This window comes from Homo sapiens, chromosome 17 (assembly GCF_000001405.40).
Source record: "Homo sapiens chromosome 17, GRCh38.p14 Primary Assembly".
NCBI lineage: Eukaryota > Metazoa > Chordata > Mammalia > Primates > Hominidae > Homo > Homo sapiens.
In genome coordinates, this window is record NC_000017.11 from 7,932,001 (window position 1) to 7,951,392 (window position 19,392).

Sequence of the window (19,392 nt, forward strand, 5' to 3'; positions counted from 1 at the left end):
GGGGGGTTCTCGCTCGGCCGCGGCTGGGCATTAACTCCGCTCCAGTGCTGCTTGTCAGACTCCGCCTCCCTCCCTCAGCCAATCTGTGGCCACCGGAGCCGCGCACGCGCGGCCAGGCGCTCGGGATACAGAAGTGATGTGAGTGTCTGCGAGCGTGGTCTCGCGGGCGGGTGACGTCATCGAGGCGAGAGAGGCGGAGCCGTGGACAGTGGGCGGGAGGCTGCCAACGGTTTTGAGCGTAGGGGGAGGCGTGAGAGGGGGATCTCAGGGGAGGAGGTCAATCGCTTGCCCCCCACTTTGGCAAATTGGGGACTGAGGACTGGAAGGGTGGAGAGTAGGCGGAACCAGGTGGTCGTCGGGGCAGAGGATCTCGGGCTAGGCTTGAGGGCGGCGTGCTTCTTAGGGACGACTTAGGGCGTGACTGAGGGTTCACAAGGTTTCTTTTGGGGTGGTCGGGAGGGAGAGATTCTAGGGAACAAGGAAGCTCGCTATGGCTTTCTTGCCAGGAGGGGTCGAAGGGAAAGTACAAGGGAGCTGGAGCTGACCCTGGGTAGAACGGGTGAAGGGATGGGGGAGCGTGAGGTTCCGCCCTCTCTTGAGACTGGAACCAATTGAGGGACTAGTAGGGCAGGGGGACAGAAATTGGGCTCCTAGTGGATTTGGGTCCGTTTCCGTTGGGACGTTTTGGGTGTGAGAACTTAAGAGCTCAGTTGACCGGGGATAGCCTGTGCCGGAGTTGATCTGCAGCTTCCAGCACTCGTAGTCGGGAAGAGGAGCTTCAGCAGCGCTGTTGTCCCACAGTAGGTCTTCTGTCCGCACCCGCTCTGCGCTGCACCCTCTTAACGCTGTTCCCAGGAGCTGGGGAAAGGGATGCTTTTGCCCACTCCCATGGCCCCTGGAACTGGTGGAAACCTTTCCTCTAACCAGAAAGCCTCGATATCCTTAATTCACCAAGGATCCTTGGCGTGGAGTCTTCCTCCCTTCTCCCAAGTCTTTCTCCGTGAACTTTTCCTCCTGGACTTTGCTAAAGCAGAACCTCCCAGCTCTTTGCTGTCTCCGGTTGTCTCTTCCCTGTATTCATGGCAACATCAGCTGACAGCCCCAGTTCACCCCTCGGGGCGGAGGATCTCCTGAGTGATTCATCAGAACCCCCTGGGCTCAACCAAGTGTCGTCTGAAGTGACCTCCCAGCTCTATGCTTCTTTGCGCCTCAGCCGGCAGGCGGAGGCCACGGCCCGAGCCCAGCTGTATTTACCCTCCACCTCCCCGCCTCATGAAGGGTTAGACGGCTTCGCCCAAGAATTGAGTCGAAGCTTGTCAGTCGGATTGGAAAAGAACTTGAAGAAAAAGGTGAGGGAAGTGTGTCTTGGAGACCACTGTGGCACTAGACACCAGAGAGTCTTGGGATTGGGGTTGGTAAAAATAAAAAGCTTTGATGAGATTTGAACTCTTCCTGTTGGATTTCATATTCCTTTTAACTGCATAGGCAGCCATGCTTATAAGGGAGGGAGTGACCTGGGACACCATAATTTGAAAATTATGAAACTTCCCAGTGTTTTTTTGTGAGAGACATCTCTGCTCCGAGTAGATAGAGCAAACCTATGGGGTAGGTTGGTGAGCTATTTCCCGTGCACTGGGAATGGGTAAGGTTTCTTGATCCCAAGAGGGAGCTAGGGACTTAGGATAGCAGCTCCGATCCTTCCAGCTCAACACTATGTTGATAGTATGGTTCCAACTTTGGCATGTACATCATTAAGACATAGCTTAGTCAACTACAACATGTTACAGAGAAGATAGTTATTAGTATTGTATAGAAAAGGTGTCAGAGTCAATTTGCAGACTGGTTAGGTCTTCCAGAGTTTGAAAATGATAGCCATAAGCCATACAGTCCTTACATTTGTTCTTGAATCGGCAAGAATCTCCGCAACTCTTGTCTTATACCTCCTCGATTATTTTATTTACACTCTCTTTCTGGCTTCTGTAGTATTTGAATTTCTGATTCAAGTTTAGGACATCCCTTATTGGATCCGTTTGGTTTTTCTTGTTTTCCAAAGTGCTGGAGTGAAAATTCTACCCTGGCAATAGGTAGGAGATAGATAACACAGACTGCATCTGATTTCCATGTGGCTTTTTTCCAGGATGGTTCTAAGCATATCTTTGAGATGGAAAGTGTTCGGGGTCAGCTCCAGACCATGCTCCAAACCTCACGTGATACAGCCTATCGTGAGTAAGCCCCTTCCCTAGAACTATGAAGGAGAACCTAGATGTAAGGGGTGGGAGAAAGTGGACAGAGGAAGCAGGCAGGAAAACCTCTGAGCAAGAGATTTCAGGAGAAAAGTCTCCCGTTCTTTGGGAGAGGGGGTGAAGGAGTGAGGGAACTGGAAAGGAAGGCCTTTTCTCTTCAGGTGGCCCCTGTTTTTGTCATTACCTGACTCTGGCTTTGGGGTCCCTCTGGCTGCCTGCAGGGGATCCTCTCATTCCTGGCGCTGGCTCAGAGAGACGGGAAGAGGACTCCTTTGACAGTGATAGCACAGCCACCTTGCTCAAGTGAGTTCTCCTTGTGGTTCTCCTAGCTTGTTTGCTTTCTTGGAAATCCAGGTGTTTTGTTCCTTATTTCTCCCTTTATTGCTTTTGTACCTCTTAAGAACCCAAGAGGCTTATCACTTGCCTTTCAGTTTTCATCTTTTTCTACTGTCTCCTGCCCCCTTTACTCCTTCAGGAACACAGGTATCTGTTGCCTAGTACCTGGCTTTCTCTTAACCTGCAGTCATTCTTCCCCTCTAAAGAGTTAGCTTGTTTCTGCTGAAACCTTTAAGTGAATCACAGACCTGTGTGTTATTTATAGCACTATGGTTATATAGCTTTACGACTTTGGACAAGTCTCTTGCCCTCTCTGGGTCTCAGTTTCCTCATTTGTAGAATATCACAGTTGGACAAGTGGATTCCAAAAGCTTTCCCAGCCCTAACATTCTCTACCTGATTTGCTCAGCACCCGGCCCCTGCAAGACTTGTCTCCATCTAGCTCAGCCCAAGCCCTGGAGGAGCTGTTTCCCCGCTACACCAGCCTTCGGCCAGGGCCTCCACTCAATCCCCCAGATTTTCAGGGGCTGAGAGATGCATTGGATTCAGAGCATACCCGCCGCAAGGTAAGATGCAAACGCTTCCTTTCGAAAGCAGCAAAGATTAGAAAGAGGGGACCCAAGTGTTGAAAAGGGCTGAGGGGGCCTGGCGTGGTGGCTCACGCCTGTAATCACAGCACTTTGGGAGGCTGAGGCAGGCGGATCACGAGGTCAGGAGATCGAGACCATCCTGGCTAACACGGTGAAACCCGTCTCTACTAAAAATAGAAAAAATTAGCCGGGCATGGTGGTGGGTGCCTGTAGTCCCAGCTACTCGGGAGGCTGAGGCAGGAGAATGGCGTGAACCTGGGAGGCGGAGCTTGCAGTGAGCCGAGATCATGCCGCTGCACTCCAGCCTGGGCGACAGAGCGAGACTCCGTCTCAAAAAAAAAAAACTAAAAAAGAAAAGGGCTGAGGGTTAAGAGCCTGAAAGCTGGGACTTAAATGTTTTTCTGAGGAGGGCTTTTTTGACCATTCCATCTAATATGGCACCACCTCCTTTCCAAGTAGTCAGATCGCCTTCTTATTTCTTTCATGTAGCTTATCGTTCTGATATATCTTGTTTTTTTCTCCTCTCTAAAATTTGAGGGTCCGTATCTTGTTTGTCTTAGTACTGGCTGCCTAAGGTCTAGAATATACATAACACAGAAACACTCTGTGTTTGTCGAATGGACACAAACTCTGCTAGCTTGTGCACAGGATTTACAGCTACTGGTGATATACTGAGCTTTATCTCTGTGAGCCTCTGCCTTAGTGTCTGAAGGGGACAGAGAAATAGACAAAGGAGAGGAAAAGTCAAAATCACTGGTTGCCATTTTTGGAAGCCTCTCTTTCTCCATGTTAAACCCCTTGGCATGAATGAAAGGCTTTCCCCTTTATCCTTGCTGTGTTTATTCATTGTGTCCAATGAGCTTCTGAAGGTAGGAGTAACTTTGCACATTTTGCTGTGTGGGCTGCTGCATCTCTGCCAAAAGGTTTATGGGATTTTTACTCAGGAGATCCAGGAAAAGGAGGAGCCTGGAATCTAAGCACTTATCTCCTGAAAAGGTACAGAAACATGTTGGAGATCTTGAGCCTCAAGGTGCTTGCTTCAGAATTTTCCTGATTCTCCCTCTCCAGACCTATTCTGTTCTTGGGACCCAAGCTTCTTGGCTCCAGCCCACTCCCCCACTAGAGGAGCTGGAAAGTTTGGTGCTGTGGTCATACCAAAGATGGGCAACACCCAGACTCCTCACCCTTTTCCCCAGCATTGTGAGCGCCATATTCAGAGCCTGCAGACCCGAGTGTTAGAGCTACAGCAACAATTAGCCGTGGCTGTGGCTGCCGACCGCAAGAAAGATACCATGATTGAACAACTGGACAAGGTACCAGGGTAGCAAAATGTGGGTGGGTCTCTCCATGAAGAGCATTAAGGAATAATAAATAAGTGGGTGGCCAACCAATGTTTCTTGGTACATGCTGAGAGCTGGGCAAGGGGTTGGTTTGCTGACTGTTGGGAGAAGATGGCTGTTGACCCTGCCCCTGTGGGTAGAAAGAGGCAAAAAAGTTATTTTGAAATTTCATCTTACTTGCCCTACCTAAGACCCTGGCCCGTGTGGTGGAGGGCTGGAACCGGCATGAGGCTGAGCGGACAGAGGTTCTCAGGGGACTTCAAGAGGAACACCAGGCAGCAGAGCTCACCAGAAGCAAGCAGCAGGAGGTGAGCGCCCTGGAGCATATGGCATTAGAACCTGAGTCACAGATCTCAAGATGGAAAGGGGCAGAAATAGCTCTGGAATTAGGGTTTCCAACAGATTGACCTCAGTCTTGTAGTGGCTGTCCTGACATTTCTTCTCATCCCTCCTTTCTTCTCCTTTAACCGTTTCTGCTGTCCAACTTGAATCATCAATGTCTTAATTTTTCCCACACCATGTAGTCTTCTATCTGGCCCCTTAGTCATTTAGTTAACTGTGAAGTTTCAAGTTTACATTGTCAATGCTTTATAAAATATAGCACACACAGATTTCCCACAGTTCCTCTGCCCTGTATTCCTCTCTTCCTGAAAGACAGTAACCCGCCTGGAACAAAGCCTTTCTGAGGCCATGGAGGCCCTGAATCGTGAGCAGGAAAGTGCCAGACTGCAGCAACGGGAAAGAGAGACACTGGTGAGAAGATTGGACTGGGTTAATTCCACTGGAAGCTGTTAATTACTTCTAGAGAGCTGTGGGCTATTGGTGGATTGTGGGAGATTATAATTTGAGTTGCACCAGAGCACTGTTTCCCAAAGTGTGTTCCTTAGAACACTAATTCAGCTAGATATTCTATTAAAAAAAAAGGCTCTGCTACCAAGTCGGTTTGAGAAACTCTGCAAATTGTATCATCATTAGAATATTAGTGTCATCTGAAGAATTATTTTAAAATATAGGCTAGGCACGGTGGCTCACCCCTGTAATCCCAGCACTTTGGGAGGCCAAGGCAGGCAGATCATGAGGTCAGGAGTTTGAGACCAGCCTGGCCAGCATGGTGAAACCCCGTCTCTACTAAAAATACAAAAAACTAGCTGGACATGGTGGTGCATGCCTGTAGTCCCAGCGACTTGGGAGGCTGAGGCAGGAGAATTGCTTGAACCCAGCAGGCAGAGGTTGCAGTGAGCTGAGATCAAGCCACTGCACTCCAGCCTGGGTGACAGAGTGAGACTCCATCTCAAAAAATAAAAATAAAAAATAAAATAAAATAAAGATTTCTGGGACTCACCTGCAGAGGTTTTGATTCAGTAGATATATGGTGGAACTCAAATCTTTTCAGAAATTTCCTGGGTGATTTTTTTCAATCTGGTTTGGGACCTCTGGTGTAGGGCATGGCCAAAAAAGGTATGAAATTGACTAACTCAAGTTTCTTTTCGTGTTTTTTTTTTTTTTTTTTTGAGACAGGGTCGCGCTCTGTTGTCCAGGCTGGAGTGCAGTGGCACAATCTCAGCTCACTGCAGCCTCTGCCCCCTGGATTCTAGCGATTCTCCCACCTTAGCCTCCCAAGTAGCTGGGACTACAGGCGTATACCACCACGCCTAGCTAATTTTTGTATTTTTTTGGTAGAGACGGGGTTTCGCCATGTTGGCCAGGCTGGTCTCAAACTCCTGACCTCAAGTGATCTGCCCGCCTTGGCCTCCCAAAGTGCTGGGATTACAGGCATAAGCCACCATACCCAGCCACTTCACTCAAGTCTCTTAGAGCTGAAATGATAAGGTGATTAGCCATATGAATTAGTAGCTGGGATTGGAACTTGTTGCATGCATAATGCATGCTTGCTACATGCATGCTGGTACTTGTAGTCTTAACAGGCTATATCTGACAGTCCTGATGATGATGGGTGATGGTTCACGATTATAGGCTGGATATTCTAGTCTTAGTGGAATTTCTTTTGACGATGATGGTGGTAACTATTGTGTATTGAGTACTTACTATGTGCCTGATGCCGTGCTAAATGCCTTACATATGCTTTTTACTTTAATGCTCAGAAGGCAGACCCTGTTATGATCTCCAGTTTACAGATAAGAATGTATGCCTAAGAACACATAGTAAATTCCAGAACCAGGATTCGAACCTGAGATTTGAACCCAGGTCTACCTGGCTCTGGAACAGGAACTCTTATCTACTATATTATAATCCTATGAGCTTGTCAACTATTGTGTTTGTTTGTTTTGAGATGGAGTCTCGCTCTGTTGCCCAGGCTAGGGTTCAGTGGCACAATCTTGGCTCACTGCAACCTCCGCCTCCCAGGTTCAAGCAATTCTCCTGCCTCAGCCTCCTGAGTAGCTGGGAATACAGGTGTGCACCACCATGCCCAGCTAATTTTTATATTTTTAGTAGAGACATGGTTTCACCATGTTGGCCAGGCTGGTCCCAAACTCCTGACCTCAGATGATCTGCCTGCCTCAGCCTCCCAAAGTGCTGGGATTACAGGCATGAGCCACTGCGCCTGTCAACTATTGTGGGGTTTCTTTTGGTTTTATTTGAGATGGAGTCTTGCTCGATGTCGCCTAGGCTGGAGTGCAGTTGTGTGATCCCAGCTCACTGCAACCTCCACCTCCCAGGTTAGAGCGATTCTCCTGCCTTTGCCTCCCAAGTAGCTGGAATTACAGGCACCCACCACCACGCCTGGCTAATTTTTGTATTTTTAGTAGAGATGGGGTTTCACCATGTTGGACCAGGCTGGTCTCAAACTCCTGACCTCAGGTAATCTGCCTGCCTTGGCCTCCCAAAATGCTGGGATTACAGGTGTGAGCCACCGCACCCGGCCTAATTATTGTGTTTTTAATGAGCATAATTCTCAGCAGGCACCTTGTATGAGGGTCAGAGGGCAGATCGCTGGTCTCTGAAGAGCCTACTAAGGAGCTTGGTTTTCTTCTGCGGCTGTAGGAGGAGGAAAGGCAAGCTCTGACTCTGAGGTTGGAGGCAGAACAGCAGCGGTGCTGTGTCCTGCAGGAAGAGCGGGATGCAGCTCGGGCTGGGCAACTGAGTGAGCATCGAGAGTTGGAGACTCTTCGGGCTGCCCTAGAAGAAGAACGGCAGACCTGGGCCCAGCAAGAGCACCAGCTTAAGGAACACTACCAGGCGCTGCAGGAGGAGAGCCAGGCTCAGCTGGAAAGGGAGAAGGTAAAAGTGGCAGTTGGAAGAGCTGAGGAACTAGGGAGTAGATGAAGGGCAAAATAATTGAATGGGATGGAATGTTAGAATATGGGGGATACATATAGGCAGGAATGGAGAGTAGAGAGCCATGTGTGGGAGACAAGGTTGAGAGTATAGGGCCAGCAGGAAGGGCTGGGGGTAATGAATACGTGAAAGGCCAAAGACTGAAATTCAACAGGGATGGGGAAATAAAACAAATGGGAGGAGCTGGGGGAAGCTTGGATTTTAGGGTTTGGGAGGATGAACTGGGGAGTGTAGGTAACCAGGAGATAAGAAATGAGGTATGTATATACATTTGATTTGTCTTTCATAGGAGAAGAGCCAGAGGGAAGCCCAGGCCGCCTGGGAGACCCAGCACCAGTTGGCATTGGTGCAGTCTGAGGTGCGGCGGCTGGAAGGAGAGCTGGATACAGCTCGGAGAGAGAGAGATGCCCTGCAGCTGGAAATGAGCTTGGTGCAGGTCAGAAGGCAGAGGTTTCTTGAGGTTTTGTTCTGACAGAAGTAGATCTGAGGCAGAGGGACCTCTCAGGAGTTGTGGCAGACACTCCCAGTTCAGGTGTTTGGGGTTTAATTCCATTAACAGTTTCTATGTAGTATGGGTAGTTTTCTGTCCTAAACTCAGAGCTATTTCTTACTGAGTGACCATTTCCCACAATATGTCAGACTGACCTAGTGTTACTTTTAGGATTAAATAGATTTAAATCTATTAAAGATACCTTATGTTATTTTAAGAGATGACACCACACTTAGTGGGTTGACAGAGCAGGTGAAAGCTTTTGTCAGAGACTTGATTCCAATTGTAACAGTGTGCTTTGTAATTCTCATTACTTGAATAACTTGTATTAATTTCTCTGAGTAGGTCAGGGACCCAGGAGGGCAATGATTTTTTAATTTACTTATGAAACTTCCATAACAGCACATGGCCTGGCACAGAATTGTACTCAAAAATTGTTTGTCAGATATAATTACACTTTGAAAAACTCTTTCCATCTAGCTAACACACTGAATTTTAAATTCAAACTAGTCGGACTCTTGCCATGGAATAGAGCAGGAGTTGGCGAACTTTTTCTGTAAAGGGCCAGACAGTAAATATTTTTAGCTTTGTGGGTTGTATGGTCTCAGTTGCAACTACCCAACTCTGCTGTTATACCACAGAAGTAGCTATAAACTGTACGTAAACAAATGGGCACAGCTGTGTTCTAGTACAACTTATCTAAACAGGCAATGGAGGGCTGAATTGGGCTGTAGTTCGCCGATCTCCAGAATAGAGGAAAGGATTGGAGAGAGCTGTGTTCCAGCCCATGGGGGAGACACAGCGTTGAAGAGGAAAGAGTATTGCATTAGGACTTAGGGCACTTACGTCTACTTCTAGCTAGAATTTTGACCTTTATGGGCCTCTGTTTTTATGTATAAAATGTGTAAGGACAAATTGATGAATTTTCCAGGTGCAAGCCAGTCTGAGAGGCTATGTTCCTTATAAATGGTTAACTTAAGGAGGTACCAGTGAGGCCAGCATTTGAGAACCACAATCCTTTGGCCCGGTATGGTGGCTCATGCCTGTAATCCCAGCACTGTGGGAGGCCAAGGCGGGTGGATCACTTGAGCCCAGGAGTTTGAGACCAGCCCGGCCAACATGGTGAAACCCTGTCTCTACTAAAAATACAAAAATTATCCAGGTGTATGGTGCACACCTGTAGTCCCGGCTACTAAGAAGGCCGAGGCAGGAGAATCGCTTGAACCCGGGAGGTGGAGGTTGCAGTGAGCCCAGATTGAACCAGTGTACTCCAGCCTGGGCAACAGAGTGAGACTCCATCTCAAAAAAAAAAAAAAAAAAAGAATTGACCTAGGGCTTCAGGTGTTACAATGAGATCACATGCGATAAAGACTAAGAAAGCATCCGGGTGTGGTGGCTCGCACCTGGAATCCCAGCACTTTGGGAGGCCGAAACGGGCAGATTGCTTGAGCCCAGGAGTTCAAGACCAACCTGGGCGCAATATGGCAGTACCTAAACTCTGCTAAAAATACAAAAACTTAGCCGGGTATAGTGGCATGCACCTGTAGTCCCAGCTACTCGGGAGGCTGAGGTGGGAGGATCAACTGAACCCTGGAAGTAGAGGCTGCAGTGACCCGTGATCACACCACTGCACTCCAGCCTGGGTGACAGGAGCGAGACCGAGTCTCAAAAAAAAAAAAGACAGAAAGGGCCAGGTGTGGTGGCTCACGCCTGTAATCCCAGCACTTTGGGAGGCTGAAGTGGGAGGATTGCTTGAGTCCAAGAGTTTGAGACCAGTCTGGGCAACATAATGAGACCCCATCTCTACAAAAAATAAAAATATTAGCTGGGTGTTGTGGCACCAGCTTGTAGTCCCAGCTACTCTGGAGGCTGAGGTGGGAGGATCTCTTGAGTCTGGGAGGTCAAGACTGCAGTGAGCCATGATCACACCACTGCACTTTAGGCTAAGCAACAGAACAAGACTCTGTCTCAGAAGTAGGGGCTGAGAAATAACCACTATTTGGATTTAGAAATTGAGTTCTTTGGGCCATGCGCGGTGGCTCACACCTGTAATCTCTTTGGGAGACTGAGGCGGGTGGATCACGAGGTCAGGAGATTGAGACCATCCTGGCTAACACGGTGAAACCCCGTCTCTACTAAAAATACAAAAAATTAGCTGGGCGTGGTGGCACGCACCTGTAGTTGCAGCTACTTGGGAGGCTGATGCAGGAGAATTGCTTGAACCCGGGAGGCAGAGGTTGCAGTGAGCCGAGATCGCGCCACTGCACTCCAGCCTGGGTGACAGAGAGGGACTCCATCTCAAAAAAAAAAAAAAAAAAAAAAAAGAGGTTGAGTTCTTTATAGTAAAATACTATACGTGGAAATCAGATTTTAGTGAGTTGAAGGACTGTGGCTGAGAAAATGGAGACACTTATAGGTTGACTGCTTAAGGAGGAAGAGGCACTGCCATTTATTGAATGTCTACTGGCTTTCAGGTACTCTACTCAGGGTATTTTTTTTTTTTTTTTTTTTTTTTTTTTTTTTGAGACGGAGTCTCGCTGTGTCTCCCAGGTTGGAGTGCAGTGGCGCGATCTCGGCTCACTGCAAGCTCCGCCTCCCAGGTTCATGCCATTCTCCTGCCTCAGCCTCCCAAGTAGCTGGGACTACAGGCGCCCGCCAACACGCCCGGCTAATTTTTTGTATTTTTAGTAGAAACGGGGTTTCACCGTGTTAGCCAAGATGGTCTCGATCTCCTGACCTCGTGATCCGCCCGTCTCGGCCTCCCAAAGTGCTAGGATTACAGGCGTGAGCCACCGCGCCCAGCCTCAGGGTATGTTATATCAGACACGTAGAATGGATTTGATTGCTCTGTCGAACATTTATTTTAGCTAAGAAATTTATGTCTTTCACCCATAGTCATTTTCACTTTGATGTATGTTTAAAGTGCGAATATCTTAATAAGGAAAGGGAACCTCTTTCACTCCTTGAGGCAAAATTCTTGTTCTTCATCTCATATGAGGGGAAAGTTGGTACTGGATTTTGTCTACATTATATCCTCCATCCTCTTCTAAGCCCAAACAGATTTGGGCCGTTATCCCACCTTCCTTCACTCCAGGCCCGGTATGAAAGCCAGCGGATCCAGCTGGAGTCGGAGCTGGCTGTGCAGCTGGAGCAGCGGGTGACAGAGCGGCTGGCGCAGGCTCAGGAGAGCAGCCTACGGCAAGCAGCCTCCCTCAGGGAACATCACAGGTACGTGGGACTCACTGGGTGTCACTTCTCTCAGCCACAGCACGTATCGTTAGTGCCAGGCCTGTGTTCCCTTCAATCCCTTTGCCATGGTCCAGCACTGTGACTCCCAGGGTGCGCTAACTCCCATCAGCTGGGACCTGAGTCTCTCTCGGGAGGGCTGCCTTCACGCGTTCATGGAGAGCCAGAAGTGCCTGGGAATTTTCATCCCATAGGGAGTAGCCCTTAACCAAGAACTGATGGGTGCAGAATGATAGATGGTCCAGCTCCCTCACTGGGACAGTGCTGAGGTATGACCTGTGCTGTCTCCAGAGCTGCTCTGTCGGACTGAGCCTCCTCGCAGCCTGGCCTCACTTCTCCTCACACCCATTCTGCTGCCGAGATTTTCTGGAACTGCTTCCGAAATAAATTTATTTAAGTCTCTGCTTCTGAGGAACCCATCCTAAGACCCCAGCTTTGTCCTTGCCGCTTCCTGTGCCATGGCCAGGCTAGCTGACTGGCTATCTGGGTCACTGTCATGTGCACACATGATGTCTTTTTCTCAGTTGGTCACTTCTTCTGTCTCCAGTCTCAGGCCTCTTCTCCTACCTGTGCCCTGTAGGAAGCAGCTGCAGGACCTGAGTGGACAGCACCAGCAGGAGCTGGCCAGTCAGCTAGCTCAGTTCAAGGTGGAAATGGCAGAACGAGAGGAACGGCAACAGCAGGTGGCTGAGGACTACGAGCTCAGGTCCTGGTCCCCAGAGTGCCCCTTTCAGGCCCCAGCCCCTTTCCCATGGGTAGAGCCCAAACTGGGAACGGTGAAGAGCTGCTCCCTTGATTGATCTGTCCTCCTCTACATGGGCCCCAGCTCCTTTCAGAATATCAGATGTCCAACATTTCCCTTCTGGCTCTTTTTAGCTCCCAAGTATCTGCTTCCTTAAAGGCCCTGAGTCACTTCTTCTCTCTTTGCTTCAGACTGGCCCGGGAGCAAGCGCGAGTGTGCGAACTGCAGAGTGGGAACCAGCAGCTGGAGGAGCAGCGGGTGGAGCTGGTGGAAAGACTGCAGGCCATGCTGCAGGCCCACTGGGATGAGGCCAACCAGCTGCTCAGCACCACTCTCCCGCCGCCCAACCCTCCAGTACGCCTTACCCCTTGAGCTAAGCTTCTCCGTTATGTTCTATTTTTATTTTTATTTTTGAGACAGGGTCTCACTCTTGCCCAGGCTGGAGTGTACTGGTGAGATCATAGCTCATTGCAGCCTCGAACTCCTGGGCTCAAGTGATCCTCCCACCTCTAACTCCCAAAGTGCTGGGATTCCAGGCATAAGCTACCATGCCCAGCAAGAACTGTGTTCTAGATTCCTTCTTTGGAAATCTAGCTCCCTCCCAAGGGAAGTACTAAGTTCAGCTCCTAAGGCCTACATCAGGGGAGAAAAATCGGTGGACTTTACAAATAATAACTGCCTCAGCAAAATAAATCCTTTTTTCCATGGCCATAGCTCACTCAGACTGGCCCCATTCCATTGGGCATAACTCTAGTCTCCCAGTCCCAAGAGGGGACAAATGATACGTGGTACTAGTTTTGTGGAGGGACAGCTGAATTAATTATGAGGGAAAGGGCCAAAAATTGTTGCCAAGTCCTGCCCCAGAGTAGAGTAGGGAGTCTCACTTCCTAGCCCTTCATACGTTGATACTTCCCACTTCCTTCTTTTAATTATGAAATTCTAGCAGGTGTGGTGGTGCGCCTGTAATCTCAGCTATATGGGAGGCTAAAGCAGAAGGATCACTTGAGCTCAGGAGTTCAAGACTAGCCTAGGCAACATAGTGAGACCTCATCTCAAAAAAAGAAAAAGAAGAAAAAATTAGGATATTTTAATTTTAATTTTATTTATTTATATACTTATCATTTATTTATTTGAGACAAGGTCTCACTCTGTTGCCCAGAGCGCTCAAGCAATCTTCCTTCCTCAGCTTCCTGAGTAGCTGGGACTACACACACGTGCCATTGCCCCCAGCTAATTTTTAAATTTTTTGTAGAGATGGCATCTCTCTATGTTGCCAAGCCTGGTTCAAACTGCCAGCCTCAAACGGTCCTCCCAAAGTGTTGGGATTACAGGTGTGAGCCACTGCATCCGGAAATTTATAATCTTATTAAAGTGTTTGTACCATGTCTTATCTCTTTAAACCTACTGTGCTTTGACCCTTCTTTCTGCCTCTCTCCTGGTCAGGCTCCTCCTGCTGGACCCTCCAGCCCCGGGCCTCAGGAGCCCGAGAAGGAGGAGAGGAGGGTCTGGACTATGCCTCCCATGGCCGTGGCCCTGAAGCCTGTATTGCAGCAGAGCCGGGAAGCAAGGGACGAGCTACCTGGAGCGCCTCCTGTTCTTTGCAGTTCCTCCTCAGATCTTAGCCTCCTGTTGGGCCCCTCTTTTCAGAGCCAGCATTCTTTCCAGCCCCTGGAGCCCAAACCAGACCTCACTTCATCCACAGGTAACTGGGGGCAGAAGTCACTGGGGTTCCCCTTCTGTGCATGAATTGGCTCCCTCTTTCGTACCCTGCTTTCTGTCTGATACTTGAGCATTTAGTTTCCCAGATGCCTTTAGTGATCGCAAGTTGCAAGGAGCAGAAATCTGCTCACATTGGTCCAAATAAAGGGATTGAGATCTCATGGAAATATGACATCGCTGGACTTAATGAGAACTGGAGTTGGGAACGGGGTACTATCAGGAACTGAGGCAGCTAGCTGGCCCTTTTCTGTGGGCCTGCATAGCCTCCTGGGTCCACCTCTCCTGCACATCTGCTCTTTTTTCTTGCTAGACCAGCATTCAAGGTTCTCACCCTTCATAACTTCAGTTTACACATGGGTTTGACCAGCTGTGATACTGACTCTAGCTGAGCCTCTAGACATTTATAGAGACATCGGTGTCTCAGTTTTTTTAGGTCCAGTTTAAAGAGGCCATCTGATTGGATTGGCTGACCTTGGGTGTGGTGTCCACCCCTAGTTTAATGTCACCTGTGATTTGAGTGGATGGGGGCATTCTGTGTGGTACAAACATGACAACCTAGGTCGAATTAAAAATGAGGGATGGGGCCGGGTGCAGTGGCTCACGCCTGTAATGCTAGCGCGTTGGGAGGCTGAGGTGGGAGGATGGCTTGGTGCCAGGAGTTCCAGACCAGTCTGACCCATATAGTGAGACCTCATCTCTACACAAAATAAAAAGTTAGCAGGATGTGGTGGCACACACCCAAATTTCCAGCTACCCAGGGAGGCTGAGACAGAAGGATTGCTTGAGCCAAGGAGTTTGGGGCTACAGTGAGCTAAGAAGTTGCCATTGTACTCTAGCCTGGGCAACACAGCAAGACTCTGTCTCTTAAAAAAAAAAAAAAGAGATTACAGCTCACGCCTGTAATCCCAGTACTTTGGGAGGCCGAGGCGGGCAGATCACAAGGTCAGGATATCGAGACCATCCTGGCTAACACAGTGAAACCCCGTCTCTACTAAAAATACAAAAAAGTTAGCCGGGCGTGGTGGCAGGCATCTGTAGTCCCAGCTACTCGGGAGGCTGAGGCAGGAGAATGGTGTGAACCCGGGAGGCGGAGCTTGCAGTGAGCCGAGATCGCGCCGCTGCACTTCAGCCTGGGCGACAGAGCGAGACTCCATCTCAAAAAAAAAAAAAAAAAGAGAGATTAGTTGTAGCACAATTAAAAATTTTTTAATTATGTGAGAATAATAAAAGAATGAGGCATATTCGGGGGAAGAGGTCAGAACATGTGTGTTACTCATTTCCATTCTTCAGGGAGTTTGTGAGGGTATTTATTTGTTTAGAGTTTGAGTACCACAGCTTTCTTCTGTCTATATTTCTGTCTTAGAATTCAGCTGTGCCATCTCTCAGTCACCTCCAACCCTTCCCTCTCCAGCTACTTTAAACCTCCATCTTCATCTTCTCTTAGCTGTGATGTTCCTCTTCCATTTAATAGGCCCCTTTCTTCTGAGTATTAGGTGAGTTGATTTGTGGAGAAGCCCCTTCCCCCCTGAACACACTTGCACCCACCCATACCTGTTTCACTTTATAGCTGGGGCCTTCTCTGCACTTGGGGCCTTCCATCCCGATCATAGGGCAGAAAGGCCATTCCCTGAGGAAGATCCTGGACCTGACGGGGAGGGCCTCCTAAAGCAAGGGCTGCCGCCTGCTCAGCTGGAGGGCCTCAAGAATTTTTTGCACCAGGTAAGAGAGATTCCACCCAGACTAGCTCACTTTCTTCTTCCCTTTCTCCTTTCCTCTTTCTGCTCTGGGAATCCAGGACTCTGGCCTCATTCCCTGTTTATGACTAACTCTTTGTCCCAGCTTCTTCTCTCAGATCCCTGGGCGTTTTTCTCTATCAGTCCCTAGGGAACTTGACAATCTTATTCACCCACAGTTGCTGGAGACAGTGCCCCAGAACAATGAGAACCCTTCTGTCGACCTGTTGCCCCCTAAGTCTGGTGAGTTCCAACTCTGAAGAAGGTTGGGGCTGGGGCCTAGGAAAGATCGGAGTTGGTTATCTAGGATGAATTTTTAGGAGCTGGCAAAAGTAATAAAGCCTTATAAATGCTGGGTGGTGGGACTTCCTTGGTTCTATGCCCCATTTCCTGATTCTTGGCATTCTTTCCTTTTGCTAGGTCCTCTGACTGTCCCATCTTGGGAGGAAGCCCCTCAAGTGCCACGTATTCCACCGCCTGTCCACAAAACCAAAGTTCCCTTAGCCATGGCATCCAGTCTTTTCCGGGTCCCTGAGCCTCCCTCCTCCCATTCACAAGGCAGTGGTCCCAGCAGTGGTTCCCCAGAGAGAGGTGAGCATGTTCTGGTTTATTAGGGAAAAAAGGAGGGACAGTCCTGAGTGTGGATCCAGTACAGGCACTTACAGTCCTTCTGAATTCCTGGGGAAATGGGCTGAGGGCTGGGGAGACAGGCCCTAGGATGACGCCTGTGATTATTGCGATGTCTGTCAGGTGGAGATGGGCTTACATTCCCAAGGCAGCTGATGGAGGTGTCTCAACTGTTGCGACTCTACCAGGCTCGGGGCTGGGGGGCTCTGCCTGCTGAGGATCTCCTGCTCTACCTGAAGAGGCTGGAACACAGCGGGTACAAGCCTGGGAGGAAGGAGGAAGGATTCTCCGGGTGGAAGCTGGATTATGGGGAGTGGAGTGGGTGTGTTTTACACTGAATTGAATCGTTGTCCTTTTCTGGGGAGGAAAGTGAAGGATGAGAGGTGGATCCACAGATCTTCTCTAACTGCCCCACACTTTTCTTTTATCTCCTCCTTTCTATTGCTTTTTTCTTCTAAACAAAAAAATCTTTTCCCCGGGTCTCTCTACCTTCGTTTTTTTCCTCTTTACCCCTCAGCTCAAAACTCAGAATCCTAGACTTTTGACTAGCTAGTGTAACTCGTTATTTACTTCCACTAATGTCTCCTCCCAGTTGATGCCCAGGTCTATCGAGTTTGATCTTATTCTTAAGAGATAGAATTGGGGAGTAGTTCTTCCATCCAGTATTGGGTAACCGGGGGGACGGAGATCCCCATCCTCATACCTTTGATTTGTGTAGCAGGACTGATGGCCGAGGGGATAATGTCCCCAGAAGGAACACAGACTCCCGCTTGGGTGAGATCCCCCGGAAAGAGGTGAGGGAAAGTCAGGCAGGGACCAGGGGAGAAAAGGGCTCTCACTGACCAGCTCCTTCACCTCTGCACACTCCTGGCTGGCCCCTCCATTCCACCCCTGCATTCTGTAGCATGGCCTTTCCTCCCTGCAGACTCATCTGGCCCTCTCCACGTGCATTTCCTCAGTGGGGTGGGGAATTGAGAGGATCTGACGCTGATTTCTTCCTCTCTCTTCCCTCAACTCTCAGATTCCCTCCCAGGCTGTCCCTCGCCGCCTTGCTACAGCCCCCAAGACTGAAAAACCTCCCGCACGGAAGAAAAGTGGGCACCCTGCCCCGAGTAGCATGAGGAGCCGGGGGGGAGTCTGGAGATGAGCCCCCCTACCCTCTCTCCTCTTTGTTCTCTCATTGTTGTTATTTTAATAAATGCTCATTAGTCTGTATCAGAGTCTCTGGCTCATAGGAATTTGGAAAATAGAGGTTTTGTAGGGAATCACTTCGTAAAGAAACCACATTTGGTTGAGTACTTTTTTTATATGTTACATGTTTATATGTCATTTCCTGTGGGAAAAGACATGAATGCTTTGGAAGACGGTCTATGACAAGATTTGGAAAGTTGGGGCGGCTAAGATTCAGTGGACAAAGCTAAAACCTGCAGAGCAATGAACTCTGGGTGGTAGTGGAATTATGGGTGATTCTTAGTTTTTTAATACGTTTCTGTATTTTCCAAATTTTCTAAAACAAGTATATGTTACTTTAATAATCAGAACAGACCCAAACTTTAATAAGAGTAAGTTATTGTATAAAGAGTTTGAGTTAAAATTTGGTTGTTGGGGAGAAAGTTTTCTAAGGGAAAATAATTCTTTCAGGTTGCATTTGTAGGATTCAGATTGGCAGATTCTACTCCAGCCAGCAGACATATTGTTGCTATAGTCTTCACGCTTACAGCTTTAAAACGTGTAAAAGACTAGAGTGCTGGGTCCTAATTAAACAAAAGAGTTTCTGCACAGCAAAAGAGACTGTCGACAGAGTAAACAGACAGCCTACAGAATGGGAGAAAATATTCTCAAACTATGCATTTGACAAAGGTCTAACATCCAGAATCTATTAGGAACTTAAATCAACAAACAAAAAACAAATACCTCCATTAAAAAATGGGCAGAGGACCTGAACAGACACTTCGCAAAAGAAGACATGCAAGCAGCCAACAAACATTTGAAAAAATGCTCGTTAATAATCATCAGAGAAATGCAAATCAATTTAATGCAAAACCCCACAATGAGATACCATCTCATACCTATCAGAATGACTATTATTAAAAAGTCAAAAAACAACATGCTGGCGAGGCTGCAGAGAAAAGGGAATGCTTATATAGCTGTCAGTGGGAATGTAAGTTCCGCCACTATGGAAAGCAGTTTAGAGATTTCTCATAAAACTTAAGAGTTACCATTTCACCCAGCGATCACATCACTGGATATATACCCAAAGGAAAATAGGTCATTATTCCAACAAGATACATGCATTTATATGTTCATTACCACACTGTTCTTAATAGCAAAGACATAGAATCAACCTAGATGCCCATCAGGGGTGGATTGGATAAAGAAAATGTACATATACACCATGGAATACCACACAGCCATGAAAAAGAATGAAATAATGTCCTTTGTAGCAACATGGATGGAGCTGAAGGCTATAATCTTAATTAAGCGCGTTAGTGCAGGAACAGAAAACCTCATACTACATGTTCTCCTAAGTGGGAGTAAACATTGAGCACATGTGAACATAGACTTGGGAACAACAGATACTGCAGACTCCCAGAGCAGGGAGGGAGGGAGGGAGGGGGACGCGGGTTGAAACACTACCTAATGGTACTATGCTCACTACCTAGGTGCAATATACCCACGTAACAAACCTGCACATGTATGCCCTGCATCTAAAATAAAAGTTGAAATTGAGGCTGGGTGTGGTGGCTCACACTGTAATCCCAGCACTTTGGAAGGCCGAGGCAGACAGATCACTTGAGGCCAAGAGTTCGAGACCAGCCCGGCCAACATGGTGAAACACTGTCTCTATTAAAAAATACAAAACATTAGCCGGGCATGGTAGTGGGCACCTGTAATCCCAGCTACTTGGGAGGCTGAGGAAGGAGAATCACTTGAACTTGAGAGGCAGAGGTTGCAGTAAGCCAAGATTGTGCCACTGCACTCCAGACTGGGTGACAGAGCAAGGCTCTGTCTGAAAAAAAAAAAAAAAG

The 19,392-nt window shown here is 48.3% G+C and overlaps 1 protein-coding gene across 24 annotated transcripts, besides 6 other annotated features; it reads left to right on the top strand.

Moving 5' to 3' along the window:
• On the top strand, window positions 81–17,920 carry CNTROB (centrobin, centriole duplication and spindle assembly protein). 24 transcript variants are annotated; one of them, XM_017024129.2, is made up of 20 exons: window positions 81–138; window positions 928–1,349; window positions 2,138–2,222; window positions 2,465–2,546; window positions 2,989–3,145; window positions 4,366–4,482; window positions 4,701–4,817; window positions 5,164–5,262; window positions 7,513–7,749; window positions 8,096–8,242; window positions 11,391–11,524; window positions 12,123–12,248; window positions 12,476–12,638; window positions 13,728–13,986; window positions 15,571–15,722; window positions 15,916–15,979; window positions 16,157–16,327; window positions 16,487–16,685; window positions 17,085–17,157; window positions 17,385–17,920. In XM_017024129.2, the coding sequence occupies exons 2-20, from the start codon at window positions 1,080–1,082 to the stop codon at window positions 17,508–17,510; spliced, it is 2,778 nt and encodes a 925-aa protein (XP_016879618.1). In that variant the 5' UTR covers window positions 81–138; window positions 928–1,079; the 3' UTR covers window positions 17,511–17,920. The 24 variants fall into 24 exon arrangements, with proteins under 24 accessions (XP_016879618.1, XP_047291260.1, NP_001340138.1 ...); XM_047435304.1 differs by having other exon boundaries at window positions 16,487–16,619; window positions 17,085–17,137; NM_001353209.1 differs by having other exon boundaries at window positions 16,487–16,619; window positions 17,082–17,157; window positions 17,385–17,919.
• Window positions 240–289: an enhancer, noted in NCBI's record as "active region_11655". NCBI's record gives its function as "activates an Ori minimal core promoter by ATAC-STARR-seq in GM12878 lymphoblastoid cells {active_cell/tissue: GM12878}" and the evidence as "EXISTENCE:reporter gene assay evidence [ECO:0000049][PMID:35858748]".
• Window positions 510–569: an enhancer, noted in NCBI's record as "active region_11656". NCBI's record gives its function as "activates an Ori minimal core promoter by ATAC-STARR-seq in GM12878 lymphoblastoid cells {active_cell/tissue: GM12878}" and the evidence as "EXISTENCE:reporter gene assay evidence [ECO:0000049][PMID:35858748]".
• Window positions 600–889: an enhancer, noted in NCBI's record as "active region_11657". NCBI's record gives its function as "activates an Ori minimal core promoter by ATAC-STARR-seq in GM12878 lymphoblastoid cells {active_cell/tissue: GM12878}" and the evidence as "EXISTENCE:reporter gene assay evidence [ECO:0000049][PMID:35858748]".
• Window positions 1,020–1,149: an enhancer, noted in NCBI's record as "active region_11658". NCBI's record gives its function as "activates an Ori minimal core promoter by ATAC-STARR-seq in GM12878 lymphoblastoid cells {active_cell/tissue: GM12878}" and the evidence as "EXISTENCE:reporter gene assay evidence [ECO:0000049][PMID:35858748]".
• Window positions 1,020–1,254: a biological region, named in NCBI's record as "ReSE screen-validated silencer GRCh37_chr17:7836395-7836572".
• Window positions 1,077–1,254: a silencer, noted in NCBI's record as "fragment chr17:7836395-7836572 (GRCh37/hg19 assembly coordinates)". NCBI's record gives its function as "represses an EF-1alpha promoter that drives an FKBP-Casp9 reporter gene in an ReSE screen in K562 erythroleukemia cells {active_cell/tissue: K562}" and the evidence as "EXISTENCE:reporter gene assay evidence [ECO:0000049][PMID:32094911]".